The sequence below is a fragment of the Homo sapiens genome, chromosome 19 (assembly GCF_000001405.40).
Source record: "Homo sapiens chromosome 19, GRCh38.p14 Primary Assembly".
Taxonomy (NCBI): Eukaryota; Metazoa; Chordata; class Mammalia; order Primates; family Hominidae; genus Homo; species Homo sapiens.
Genome location: NC_000019.10, coordinates 34,016,506 through 34,031,651, shown reverse-complemented (window position 1 = coordinate 34,031,651; position 15,146 = coordinate 34,016,506). Strand labels below are relative to the sequence as shown.

Genomic DNA, 15,146 nt, shown 5'->3' with positions numbered 1-15,146 from the left:
ATTATTTGGATGTTCTCTTACATCTTCTATTGTGTTCTGTGGTATTCTATTTCCTATTTATTCCATTTAATTTTTTTTTTTTTGAGACAGAGTCTCACTCTGTCGCTCTGTCGCCCAGGCTGGACTGCAGTGGCAGTGATCTCGGCTCACTGCAAGCTCCGCCTCCCAGGTTCTTGCCATTCTCCTGCCTCAGCCTCCCGAGTAGCTGGGACTACAGGCGCCCGCCACCACGCCCGGCTAATTTTTTGTATCTTTGGTAGAGACGGGGTTTCACCGTGTTAGCCAGGATGGTCGCGATCTTCTGACCTCGTGATCCACCCACCTCGGCCTCCCAAAGTGCTGGGATTACAGGCGTGAGCCACCGCACCCGGCTATATGTACTTTTAATTATATGCAAATTGAGGGGTGGATTATGCAGAAATTCCTAGAAATAGGGTGGTAACTTCTGAGTCAGTGGGCTGTTGCCATGGACAGGGGCAGTAACTCCCGAGTGTTGCCCTGACAATGATAAACCGACATGGTGCGCTGGTGGGTGTGTCTTACGGAAAGGTGCTTCTGCACACAGCCCTGTTTTAGCTAGTCTTCCATTTGGTTAGATGTCTGAGCCCCGTCTCCTGAGTCCAGTCCTGCCTCCTATGTCACTCCCAGGCCTGGCGTTTGTTCTCCCGGTGATCTTTGGCAGCCTCTCCTCCCTCAAGGCAGCCAGGCCCCACCCTTCACCTTCTCTCTGGGTGATCTCCCGCACCCGCTCCTATGCGTTCGGCTGCCTATCCACATCTCCGAGCCTGATCGCTCTCTCCGACGGCCCCTGGAAGGGTCTGATTCCCGGCCCTGCTTTGTGGCCACGTAGGAACATACTCCCAGCTTTCTGGCTGAACACCCATGGGGTCCATCGCCTTCCTCGCACACTCACCAGCCCCGGGTGTTTTTGTTCCTGTTACTCCCCAGGATCTGTGCCCCCAGAATGTTTTCCTCTGTCAGGAGAAAGTCAGGAAACAGTCTTCCCTCTCCACTCCCCACCCCCATTTTATGATCTTTGCTCTTTTGGCAACATTGAGCTGTTCTTGAACATGTTTCCTGTTCTTTTCTTATGTGTCTGATGCCATTTCCCAAATCTCATTCTAATTCTCCCTGGAGGGCGGCCTTCATTACTGCTGTTGATGAGCGCTGGAAGGGGGTGTTGATGTGTGCGGTCCCCTCATTTCTGTGCCACACTCTTAAAGTGAGCACCGTTAGTGGGTGATCACACAGCTGCTCAAGGCCACAGGCTGTTTCTTAACCGCGTTACTCTTCTCAGGGGATTTCTGTGTTTATTCCTTGCTTGTTCTCTACAGTTTTCTTTCTGATCTGAGACGTCCAACACATTAAGGTTCTTAGAAGCCTAGATAGTATTAGGTCTTACATGAAGTAATCATATTCTTTCAAGTATACAAAGTCTATTTAAATACTGTAAACACAAGATATCAGAAAGCTGAGAAAGGATTCTATTTGTTTACATTCATTAAATTAATCAATTTTCCCTTGCTCAAAAACAGACTCTTACGTTCTGTTAATTTTTATGAATCTCAAAATGGAAAAAGCCCCTAGAGATAATCTAGCAGGATTCCTTCATTGAAGCAGGGGAGTCCCAGGGTGGCTAAGTGTCTTGTGTTTGGACACACGACTCATTCCCAGCAGAGTTATGACTAAGGCTGTGTCTTTCTTTTTCTTTCTTTCTTTCTTTCCTTTTTTTTTTTTTTTTTTTGAGGTGGAGTCTCTATCTGTTGCCCAGGCTGGAGTGCAGTAGTGTGATCTCAGCTCACTACAGTCTCTACAGTTCAAGCAATTCTCCTGCCTCAGCCTCCTGAGTAGCTGGGATTGCAGGCTCACGCCACCACGCCCAGCTAATTTTTGTATTTTAAGAAGAGATGGGATTTCACCATGTTGGCCAGGTTAGTCTCAAACTCCTGACCCAGGTGATCTGCCTGTCTCGGCCTCCCCAAATGCTGGGATTACAGGTATGAGTCACTGAGCCCGGCCAAGGCCTGTGTCTTTCAATGCTGGGCTTTTCCTACCATGCCTCTGATCTGTGTGTCCACCATGTCTTTCCCCCATTCCTATAAATATCTAAGCATACATGGACATCCACATTCTCCTTTAATTATCATTTTGGGAGATGGGGAATCATCTTGCTCAGTGATACTTTTGGTAAAATGATCTTGGAATTAATGCATTTTAACTTGGTGATCTTTATCCTTGTAAAACCAATTCTTTAACTGAATTTTTGTTTCAAGTTATTTCACATTAATGGATTGTGTATATTTTCTTTTATTTAACATATTCTTAACAAATACAATACAGATGATCTTTGAACATTTTTGTGTTTATTGCTATGAATGAAGGAGAGAATTTGCTTATTAAAATCCCAACTCCTTTGGGAGTCTCAGTCCCTATCTATAGAATCTGTCCAGATTAGAGTGTGCTCCAGAATCTTTTGAAACATGGAAAGCAGTTACATTTGAATCTGTAGTATCAGGTTTTTTTTACAGTTTACCTTCTTTGATACCTTTTTTTGAGAATGCAATTAGCTTGGGTATCTTGAATTTCATGTAAACTTAGGATAAATGGGTGTGAGTATTTTACACCCATAGTGCCAACTGGTTGGCTTTGGCAGCTTTTCTTTCGGAAGGTTGATATTCTAGACCAGGAGCCAGCAAGCCTTTTCTGTAAGGCTAGGTAGACTTTGGGGGCCATATGGTCTCTCACTCAGCTCTCCTGTAGTAATGGGAAAGCAGTGTCAATAAAAAACTTTATTAAATTGATTTTAATGATCTAATTGGCTTTTACTATCAATTCACGAATTGGGCAGCATCCCATTTAAAAATAGAAAGGTGCTGCATTAGGTGTGGCAGGACAATTTATTTTTGTAAAGTAGCTTGAGCAGGAACAAGGGAACAGCTTAATACAAAAAATAAGACAGGGGCCAGGCATAGTGGCTCACACCTGTAATCCCAGCACTTTGGGAGGCCGAGCTGGGTGGATCACTTGAGGTCAGTAGTTTGAGACCAATCTGGCTAACATGGTGAAACCCTGTCTCTACTAAAAACAAAAAAATTAGCTGGATGTGATGGCGTGAGCCTCTAGTCCCAGTTACTCGGGAGGCTGAAGCAGGAGAATCGCTTGAACCCAGGAGGCGGAGGTTGCAGTGAGTGGAGATCGCACCATTGCACTCCAGCCTGGGTGACAGAGCGAGATTCTGTTTCAAAAAAAAAAAAAGACAGGGTTACTTTTTTTTTTTTTTTTTTTTGAGGCGGAATCTCGCTCTGTCACCCAGGCTGGAGTGCAGTGGTGCGATCTCAGCTCACTGCAAGCTCTGCCTCCCGGGTTCATGCCATTCTCCTGCCTCAGCCTCCTGAGTAGCTGGGAATACAGGCGCCCGCCACCACGCCCAGCTAATATTTTGTATTTTTAATAGAGACGAGGTTTCACTGTGTTAGCCAGGATGGTCTCAATCTCCTGACCTCGTTCTGCCTGTCTTGGCCTCCCAAAGTGCTGGGATTATAGGCGTGAGCCACCGCACCCGGCCAAGACAGTGTTACTTTAAGTTTACTTTCCTTGTAAGGATTAAAGCAGAGTTAAAGGGCAGAGTTAACTGCCCTTTCTGATTGGTTGCTGCAAATCTCCCGTTCTTCAGGGAAAACTGGTCTGTTTGGGAATTATCCTGCTTCCTTAAAGTTTCAGTTTGATGATGTGGCACTTAGCACAAGTGACTCCATTTTGGTTTGGTCTGGTTGGGGCCTCTGTTGGGGTTCAGTCCAAAACAATGCCTCTCTTAGGTCTTATTTAATGGCAGTCACAGAAGACTGAAAATGAATAGACATGGTAGTTAAAGAAAAAACTATATTCAAGAAAAAAGCAACATGAAGGCCACACTTTGCTGATTGATGGCGTACACTGTTGCGTATTTTTCCTAGCACTAGTGGCAGTCTCTGCCAGCATTTTTTTTTTCCCACCAAGCCTAGAATCAGAATAGCAATTGCAGTTGCATTCCCACTTCTGTGCCTCTTCTGAAGTTGGTCTCCCTGCTGGAAATGCCGTCTCCTCTCTTTCCCATCTGTGCAAATGTTATCTAGAAAGCCCTCCCATTCAGTTCAGTGCTTTCTCCCTTCCTGAACTCTGCTGGCATGCTCATTTGTGGGCTGGTATTATCTGTGTGTTCATGTGTTTATGGTTTCTTCCCAAGCTCCCAGAGCACCTGGTGCAGAGCACCATGCTTTGCATTCGGTGAGAGCTCAGGAGTGGCCGTGAGCACCCAATACCAGCCCAGCACCTCCACGGACCTGGAAGGTACCACGCTTTGCATGAGGCAATGGGACACATCCTTGGCCAAATTAGCAAGAACAGTAGTTATTTTTGTTTAATGGCTGTAATTTCTCAGATAGGAGTCAGGGTCTGTTGTGGAAAGGGGAATGTTAGAAACCATGGGAAGTTTAGGGAGGAAAGAAGACAGCATTAAAGAGAAGCACAAAGTGTTATGGCAGACATGTCATTCAGCCTTAAGAGCAAGAATGGCCAAGAAACATTTTAAGTGCTGGAAATAAAGACACCACTTTAGCTGTGGGACCTGAGTAAGCTGCTTAATGTTGTTTAACTTACCCAATTTCCTCATCTGGACAATGGAGATAGTAATTGTACCTACCTCATAGGGTTGATAGGGGCATTAAATGAGTTAAACACATCAAGGACATAGAGCTCTGTCCAGTACCCAGTAAGTACTTGACATTTAGAGCCTGGCATGAGCCTCCTGACCCCAAGCCCAGTGATGACTTGGAGCAATGATCAACCAAGCCGAAGACCCCAGACTGTCAATTGAAGGATGAAATTAACACCTTAAATGTGCAGTTACCAAAAGATAACTGTATTAGTCCTTTTTCACGCTGCTGTTAAAGGCATACCTGAGACTGGATAATTTATAAAGGAAATTTATAAAGTCTATAGGACTTTATGTGTTCTTTGTTGCATGTGTAATGAATGAAAATCTAGTGTCAGACTCTGTACATACCTTCACTTCTTGCAGAAAGTGATTAATCACTGTATTAGTCAGGGTTCTCTAGAGGGACAGAACTAATAGGATAGATGTGTATATAATGGGGAGTTTATTAAAGAGTATTGACTCACATGATCACAAAATGAGGTCCCACAATAGGCCATCTGCCAACTGAGGAGTAAGGAAGCCAGTCCAAGTCCCAAAACCTCGAAAGTAGGGAAGCCGACAGTGCAGCCTTCAATCTGTGGTCGATGGTCCAAGAGACTAGAAGCTGAAGGACTTGGAGTCTGATGCTTGAGGGCAGGAAGCATCCAGCATGGGAGAAAGATGGAGGCCAGAAGACTCAGCCAGTTTAGTCTTTCCATGTTCTTCCACCTGCTTTTTATTCTGGCCATGCTGGCAGCTGATTAGATTGTGCCCACCCAGATAGGGGGTGTGTCTGCCTTTCCCAGTCCACTGACAAAAATGTTCATCTCCTTTGGCAACACCCTCATAGACACACCCAGGAACAATACTTTGCATCTTTCAATCCAATCAAGTTGACTCTCAATATTGACCGTCACAATCACATTGTAATGAAAGGTAGAACATCTGATTAAAATATTTGCTTTCTCTATTATAAGAACTTCACTGGGTCCTATATTGGGCACTGCCTGTGTACTCAACTCTTCTTTTAGACATTGCTGCAGCAGTGACCAGTACTGCACAGGTGAAACCTGTCAGTACCTCCCTGCAGCCTCCTGATTCCTGCCTTGGAACCTCTGATGCTGGGACATGGGATTCCCATGTGTCCCCATTCAGCACTCACACATGTGCAACCTGGAAATGTAGGGGAGGTAATACCCCTAGGGAAACCCTTAACTCATGGAGGCTGATGGGTAAACGCCACCCCTTTCTTCCCTGTGGTGGTGGTGATGTGGTTCCACATATCATCAAGCTCCTTGGGTGGTCCCATAGGATTGAGCCACATGCATCTGAGCTGGTGGCCAACCTGCCTGCACATCTGCCAGCTGTGATCATAGATGAACACCTGCCACAGGCCGTGCATTCATGTGAACCTGGATCAAGATGGGTCCCTTCTGAATTTCTCTTATATCCCTAGTGCCAAGAATTCTTTCTTTCTTATCCAGTGGAAATGTCCCTTGTGTCACAGGTTGAGTCTTCTCTGTCGCAAGAAGTAGTCTTCTCTAGGGTAAGTCCTCCCAGCTTGGATTATAAATATTTATAGAGGAACTTTGGGTTTGGAGATGGGAGGGGCCTTTCTTTTTCAAGAAAACTCAGCCTTCAGGGCATTGGTCTTGTCGTGGCCTCCCAAAAAGCCAGTTTTGAGATGGAAAGCTGAATAGGGATCCATCTGTTCTTGGCTGTGACTGATTCCTTGCCTGGTACTCTGAATCACAGCTTTACCTATTTGGTGGAATATGACTACAAGGGAATAAAAATTGTATCTTTCTAATATTAAAAATATTATCCTCATTACACAGGCAATGGAGTTAAGGCATAAAGGAAAGATAAATGTGAGCCTCTCACAGGGACACTGAAGCAAATCTAGAAATTAAATGCATGAAAAAACACACATTGAGTTTTTTATAAGATTGTCAGAACAGTTTTTAGATACCTATTATAATACCTGGGGATTTTAGGTTCACTCCAACTTCTTGTGTTGACACCATAAATGCATAAATTTATGGTACCATAAATTTTGTCATTGGGTGAACATCATAGAGCATACTTACACTAACCTAGGTGGTACAGCCTACTACATACCTAGGCTATATGGTTTAGTCTATTCTCCTAGGCTACAAATCTGTACAGGCTGTTACTGCACTGAATACTGTAAGCAATTGTAACACAATGCTAAGTGTCCATCCTGTTATCTGGTGTTCTTATTAGCGTTTGCATGATCATATTAAATTAAAAATAAAAATAAGGAATTCTGGGAAGATGGTGGCAGAGCTTTCTACCTTTTACAAATTTGTAAACAAAATAGAGCACTAGTGGCCAACCAAAAACACATGGATGACATTTACAACAAAACTAATTACAAGGTATTCCCAGAAACCTCAAAACAAAAATGGCAAAGACAAACCAACAACAGCCACAAGACCTTTAGAGTATCAGTGTCTATGTGGAAGAATGCAGAGGGAACTAATGGGGTATTTGACAGACTAGAGAATAGGAGCATCCTCAAAGAGCAAACAGGTGTTAACTGGAAAGTGCAGCAGACCAATCTGGGAACAGTCACTGAAATCGGGAGGGGTTTTGTCCTCTCTTATCATGGACGAGCACAGGCTGCCTGGGGTAAGGTCTCAAGGGCCTGGAGGAGACTCCCATGGATGCTCTGAAATTGTACCTTTCAGGATAGGCTCCCACACTGAGAAGCAACTGCTGGGAATAGAAATTGAATTGAGCAGAGCAGGGCCAATAAAGATGAAGGAAGGAGAAGGTCCAGATGAAAAAGCTGGAGGGGCACAGAGCCAGCACATCTCAAAAAGCAAACCTCCAAATTTTGGAGGAGACAGCATAAGTGAAGCGGGGGTTCTGTGAAATAAGAAAAGCTACCTGGAGGCACTCCTTCTTCTAAAATTTCAGGAAAATTAATTTTACATAAAAATGAGCAAGCAATTGAGGTCAAATCCTATACCAAGTTATTATTTTTAAAAAGAGATTAAAGAGCAGAATAACACTTTTTCAGACAGAGAAAATATGTAGAAAGACAAGCTCACAAACCAAATCAACACTGTAATCTTCTCATTCAAAAGAAGGTAAAAGACACTGAGAAAATTATATAAGACATGCAAGAACAACATAAGTCAGAATTAGACCAGCAGGAAAGGTTATGGAACTGAGAAAAACCCCTAAAAATAGAAGAAAAAAAATTCAGAAATAAAGACTAAACTAGGAGGAATATACATGCAAATAGAACAACAGATAATGTCTTTAAAATAGTTGAAAGGAGAAAAATGTGAAAAATAAAGGAGGAAAGAGATGAAATTCTGGAAGAAGTTGCAAATGTTTTGCAGATAGGCAAAGAAGATCCAACACCTACGTAATAAGAGTCCCTGAAGAAGAAAACCAAGGCAAGGATAGAAAACAAACACTGAAAACTATACTTTCAGAAAAGTTTCCTGAAGTGAAAAATATTTGGAATTGCATGTTGAAAGAGCTCACCATGCTCTTTCCGTGCCTAATACAGTCGTGGCTCGTGGTCTTAGGAAGCATCTGAAGCGGGTAGCAGCTCCACAGCATTGGATGCTGGATGAATTGACTAGTGTGTTTGCTCCTTGTCCAACCACCAGTCCCCACAAGCTGAGAGAGTGTCTCTCCTAATATTTTCCTAAGGAACAGACTTAAGTATGCCCTCATAGGAGACAAAGTAAAGATTTGCATGCAGCCGTTCATTAAGATGGATGGCAAGGTCCAAATTGATATAACCTACCCTGCTGGATTCACGGATGTCATCAGCATTCACAAGACGGGAGAGAATTTCTGTCTCATCTGTGGCATCAATGGTCGCTTTGCTGTACATTGTATTACACTGGAGGAGGCCAAGTACAAGTTGTGCAAAGTAAGAAAAATCTTTGTGGGCACAAAAGGAATCCCTCACCTGGTTCCACGATGCTCACACCATCCACTACCTTGACTCCTTCGTCAAGGTGAATGACACTGTTTAGACTGGCAAGATCACTGATTTCATCAAGTTTGACACTGGTAACCTGTGTATGGTGATTGGAGATACTAACCTGGGAAGAATTGGTGTGATCACCAACAGAAAGAAGCACCGTGGATCTTTTGATGTGGTTCATGTGAAAGATGCCAATGGCAACAGATTTGCCCCTTGGCTTTCCAACATTTTTGTTACTGGCAAGTGCAACAAACCATGGATTTCTCTTCCCCGAGGAAAGGGTATCCGCCTCACCATTGCTGAAGGGAGAGACAAGAGACTGGTGGTGGGTGAAATGGTGGGTGAAACAGTGGGTAAAACAGAGCAATGGTGAAGTGGTCTCTGGGTAACATGCTAGATCTTTGCATGTAATTAAAAATAACATGGAATGATTAATGAAAAAAAAAAGAAAGAGCTCACCATGTACTTGAGAATATCGATCCTGGAATGGATAACTCAAAATGATCAACACTTAGACATATTCTAGTCAAATAATTGAACTAGAAAGAAAAAAAAATCATTTGCTTATTGCAGCAAGATGAGCAAGTGACTTAGAAGAGAAAGTCAATTAAATTATTTTCAGATTTTTTTCACAGCAATATTTTATGCCAGAAAAAAATGGAGAAATATGTTTAAGATACTCAAGGAAATAAAATGAGAGGCAAAGATGTCATATCCAGGAAAACTGATTTTTAAGTATAAAGATTACTATTATCAATCTGCAGGAACTCAGAAAATAGTGCTTCCATGAACCTTTCTTGAGGAATCTACAAGAAAAAAAATCTTCAGACAACCCAAAAGACTAGATAGACAACAGAATAAGTTACTTATAGACCTTGGACTAAATGAGAGGAAAAAAGAAAGAGTATGGCTTGTAATGGCTGTATGTTGGCTATATGTTCTGACACTGTAAATTTAGCACAGCTTTAAAAAAATAGGGGGAGACAGGAGCAGTCATATGCAAAAACATTTTTAACTGTTTTCAGTTAAAGCCTTTTAAAAAATTAATCATGCCATGTTATTTTTAATTATGTACAAAGATCTAACATGTCACCCAGAGACCATTTCACCCACTGCTCTGGCCACAGTCTCGTCTCTCCCTTTAGCAATGGGTTGAATGGCGGACACCCTTTCCTCGGGGAAGAGAAATCCATGGTTTGCTGCCCTTGCCAATAACAAAAAGGTTGGAAAGCTGGGTGGCAAAGCTGTTGCTGTTGGCATCTTTCACGTGAACCACGTCAAAACATCCAGGGTGCCTCTTTCTGTCGGTGATAACACCAGTTCTTCCCAGGTTAGCACCCCCTTAAGGTTGGAGGTGGCTGTATTAATACCATTAAACTGTTGCATCCCAGAAAATTATGAGATATTCCAACTATATTATCTTTTGTGTTTTAAAGAACTGGGGTTCCCAGTATGGCAGAAAAGAAACATAGATGTAATTCAGAAGAGATGTTAAAAAACTTTGATTTAAATGAGAAGTTATCAATATAACTCGAGGTATTTTATTTAAAAAATATTATGTGTATGTATGTGTATGTATATTTCTTGTTCTGACTAATGAAAAGACCTAGCAATGCGCATCTCTCGTGCCCAGATTTTAGTTTTAAAATACCATTTCCCACTAAAAGAAATCAGAGCTCTTGGATAAATGGCTGATTCCAGATCTGGGGTAGAAAATGTCCAAAATGGGGCCGGTCAGGGTGGCTCACACCTGTGATCCCAGCACTTTGGGAGGCTGGGGCAGGAGGATCCCTTGAGCCCAGGAGTTTGAGACCAGCCTGGGCAACACAGAGAGACCCCATCTCTACAGAAAAAACAAAAAAAAGAAGATTAGCCAGGAGTGATGGCATGTGCCTTGTAGTCCCAGCTACTCAGGACTATATAGTCCCAGCTACTATAAGACATGCAAGAACAACATAAGTCAGAATTAGACCAGCAGGAAAGCTTATGGAACTGAGAAAAACCCCTAAAAACAGAAGAAAAAAAAATCAGAAATAAAGACTAAATTAGGAGGAATATACATGCAAATAGAACAACAGATAATGTCTTTAAAATAGTTGAAAGGAGAAAAATGTGGAAAATAAAGGAGGAAAGAGATGAAATTCTAGAAGAAGTTACAAATGTTTTGCAGATAGGCAAAGAAGATCTGAGGCTGAGGTGGGAGGATGTCTTGAGCCCAGTGGGTCGAGGCTGCAGTGAGCTATGATAACACCACTGCACTCCAGCCTGGATGACAAAGTGAGATCCTGTCTAAAAAAAAAGCAAAAACAAAAACAAAAAATGAAAGAAAGAAAGAAAGAAGAAAGAAAGAAAAGAAAGAAAGAAAGAAAGAAAGAAAGAAAGAAAGAAAGCAGATGCACAAAATAAAACAGGAACATTTTATTATAGTAAATAGTGAGGAAGTTAGCAGAGAATTTAAGATCATGTCAAAAGGACTCAGGAGTTAATTTGAAAAAGATCTCTATTGCCAAATTTGGGACCATGTGAGCTAAAATAAGAGAAATATTTATAATATATCAAAACATCAAAATATGTTTAAATTCACAGATTATTATGATTTTAAAATAAAACCGGATTACTCTCCTTCGGAGGACAACAGGAATCCAATACATGATCTTTTTTTTGAGGCGGGGTCTCACTCTGTCACCCAGGCTGAAGTGCAGTGGTGCGATCTCAGCTCATTGCAGCCTTCGCCTCATGGGCTCAAGGGATTCTCCCACCTCAGCCTCCCGAGTAGCCGGGACTATGTGCGTGTACCACCACACCTGGCTAACTTTAGTATTTTTTGTAGAGACGGGGTTTCACCATGTTGCTTAGGCTGGTCCTCTACTCCTGGGCTCAAGTGATCTGCCCACCTTGGCCTCCCAAAGTTCTGGGATTACAGGTGTGAGCCTCCATGATCTTAAAATTAGTAAATAAAGGGAAAGATTCAAGCATTCATCCTGTCTTTCCTAGGTGATCTGGTCCAATAGCAACCAGAGGTAGAAGAGGGAGTGTATTTAATTATAAAAATATTCTAACTAATGAATAAAAAAGAAATGGCAGAATTAGAATATCACATTTTAATGGATTTAGGCATTGTGCATTAACAGCTGCTCACGTCACAAAAAGAAAAATCGTCGGATTTTATTTGTTTCCTAATGAAAGAACTCACCACCACCTATGGTATTTCTAAAGGGACTGAACCTGAGTCTGATCCAACCTCTAGAACCAGCTGCCAATTTGCAAGAAATACAGAGGAATATGTTGAATTATACCAACAGTATCAATCAGCAAAGCCATACTGTGAAAAACTACGAGTCAAAGGCCCCAGGGTTTTCAACAGATAAATTACAGTAAAAACAAAGGGATGGAGGGATTCTGCAAAATGAGGAGACACCTAAAATACACATCAACATTTTAAAAAATGGCAAGACTATAGTGTCTAGGGTGCATACCTAAGGATAAAATCACCCCCTTCTCCCTCAAAAAAGCGAGGAAGTGATCATTACAAAAAGCCAGGATGGTCATTTCTTTCATTCCTTTAGTGGAGTGGGAGGGGTTGACATTGGGATAAGGAACATGGAGGGATTTTGGGGTGGGCTGGTTTAACTCTTTCTTTCTCTCTCTCTCTCTCTCTTTCTTTCTTTCTTTCTTTTTTTCTTCTTTCTATCTTTTTTTTTTTTTTTTTTTTTTAACAGAGTCTCACTCCATTGCCCAGGCTGGAGTGCAGTGGTGCAATCTTGGCTCACTGCAGCCTCGACTTCCTGGGCTCAAGTGATTCTCCCACCTCAGCCTCCTGGGTAGCTGGGACTACAGCCACTGGGTAATGTTTGTATTTTTTTTGTAGAGACGTGGTTTCACCATATTGCCCAGGCTGGTGTCAAATTCCTGGGCTCAAGCGATCCTCCCCGCTCGGCCTCCCAAAGTGCTGGGATTATAGATGGGAGCCACCATGCCTGTCTTATTTGTTTCTTGACTTTGGTGGTGGTGACTTTTAAATAATTTTTTTTAAATAAAAAAGGTGAAAAAAGAGAAAACAGTAATGATTAAATGACTAAAATACACCCATAATTTAAATCTATATACTGATTTTGTTCTATTAAGCTTCCATCTTGGGGGTTTTCTGAGGTCTAGCCAGACCCATGGCCCCATATCAGCCATACTTAGCACTACTTACTCAGTCTTCCATGGGCTCATCTCTTTACCTCCTTCTGTCATCTAAGGACAGCCTGGTGACACAGCCGACATTCCACCTTTATCAGGTTTCCAGGGGAACAGGATTAAAAAGTTAACCCTAGGTCAAATTTGTTCATAAAGAAAGTGAAAGAGTTTTTATCTCTTTGTGTGTTTTTTAAATCCATTACCTATACCTTCTAAGGATGAGAAGAATAGCACTTATTTGCAAAACACCTTTTGAGATACTTCATGTAGAGAATAAGGTAAGTAAATAAGGTATCAAGTTCTCCTTCAGCACTGATATTTGGTATTTGAGGTAGAAGTGTATTAACTTCCTTATTTATATGAAGATGATATGAAACAGAGATATTTAGTGGTATTCTGTAGGTCACACAAAGGGGTGGGTGCTCCCAGTGAAATTTTCTTTCTTTCTTTTCCTTTTTTTTTTTTTTGAGATGAGGTCTTGCTCTGTTGCCCAGGCTGGAGTGCAGTGCCACAATCTCAGCTCACTGCAGCCTTGAACTCCCTGGATTAAGCCATCTTCCCACCTCAGCCTCTTGAGTAGCTGGGACCACAGGCATGAGCCACCATACCTGGCTAAATTTTTTGTATTTTTTATAGAGACTAGGTCTCACCATGTTGCCCAGGCTGGTCTTGAACTCCTGGATTCAAGCCAATCTGCCTGCCTTGGCCTCACAAAGTGCTGGGATTACAGGCATGAGCCACCGTGCCCGGCCCAGTGAAATTTCTTGCCAGTGCAATTCCACTGTTTGCTTTGTTTTCAATGCCGTCTTTAGAAATGTGCTTTATTTTAAATTTTCCCTTCTGCTGCCTTTCTCCCTTGGCTTTTTGGCAAGGACCAGAGAAGGAGGACATTGTTTCTGAATTATAGTAATTAACAGTATATTCTGAATGGTGTGTTCTCTCATTTAAGTCCCCCCCCAAAACCAGAAGAGATTTTGACAGAACTAGGACATGGGAAGCAAAAAAGTCAATTAAAGCTGCTTTTTTACAAGAGCCACATAAACATTATAAAAGTGCCACATACTTGAGCCATTTTAGCAGTTTTCCATCTGGTTTTGTTGTCTCAAAAAGCAGGAAGTTTTTTCTGACATTGCTGTGAATTGTTCTAAGCGACTTTTAGATCGTCACAAGGAGTCGGGTGGCCCTAAATCTCAACGCTTCACTCTGGCGCTGAAGTTCAGAGCGGCATGAACTCATTCATTTGGTTGTTTTTGCCTCCTTTTGGCTTGAAAGGGAAAAGAATGTGGACTCTTTCTCGGCAGAGCGGAATAGACTGTGGATTGTCCTTCAAATACATCTTCCACGGGCACTGATCTCTTCTTGGGCAGAAACAGGCTGAACATCCAGACATTCAGGAGATTATAAATTGAATCTTTCATCTTCTGCTAATACGGCTTTTGGCAATAAAGCCATTATCATGAAGTGCCATAAAAGGCATCTTTTTTTTTTTTTCATCTGTTGCCTACTCAGCATGGGGTTTATTGCTATAAAAAAGTCTGATTGCTAAATGCTAAACCAGGCAGGTCACCCTGCAGTACGTGGAAAGATGGGTCTCTGATATGCCACCTGCTGTCATACAGGACAAATGGCATATTTTTTGGAGGCAAGGCTTAAAAATGGCTACAGAGACTTGCTACTGTTATTTTTGACTGCTAATTGGACACTAGTTAGTTGGCTGTAATGATTATCAGTAGGTGCATCTTCTAGGAACTGCGGGTACTTACTGATTACCTCTTTGTAGTCTGTTGCTGTGAAAAAGTTTAGTGCTGGATAAAATGGAAATTCATTTCTTAAGACATTTACACTCAAACTGGAGAAATAATATTGAACAATAAGAAACAATTTGAGAACCATCAAATAGTCTATGGCCATACCACCCTGAATGCGCCTGATCTTGTCTGAGAACCATCAAATGCTAAAGCCAATCCATTAAAATAAGGATTGATGGCTAGGCATGGTGGCTCACACCTGTAATCCCAGCACTTTTGGTGGCCAAGGAGGGAGGATCACTTGAGCCCAGGAGTTCAAGACCAGCTTGGCCAAAATGGCAAAACCCTGTCTCTTAAAAAAAAAAAAAAATAACTGGGCATGGTGGCATGCACCTGTAGTCCTAGCTACTCAGGAAACTGACATGGGAGGATCGCTTGAGCCCAGGAGGCAGAGGTTGCAGTCAGCTGAGATCATGCCACTGCACTCCAGCCTGGGCAACACAGTGAGATCCTGTTTTTGTGTTTTTTTGTTTTTTAAAAAGTCTTGTCATTACATGGGGGAACT

General features: G+C 42.1%; 2 pseudogenes, besides 1 other annotated feature; one reads left to right on the top strand and one right to left on the bottom strand.

The window, feature by feature from the left end:
* Window positions 652-804: a silencer, noted in NCBI's record as "fragment chr19:34521753-34521905 (GRCh37/hg19 assembly coordinates)". NCBI's record gives its function as "represses an EF-1alpha promoter that drives an FKBP-Casp9 reporter gene in an ReSE screen in HepG2 liver carcinoma cells {active_cell/tissue: HepG2}" and the evidence as "EXISTENCE:reporter gene assay evidence [ECO:0000049][PMID:32094911]".
* RPS4XP20 (ribosomal protein S4X pseudogene 20) lies at window positions 8,202-9,087 on the top strand (annotated as a pseudogene).
* On the bottom strand, window positions 9,690-9,993 carry RPS4XP23 (ribosomal protein S4X pseudogene 23; annotated as a pseudogene).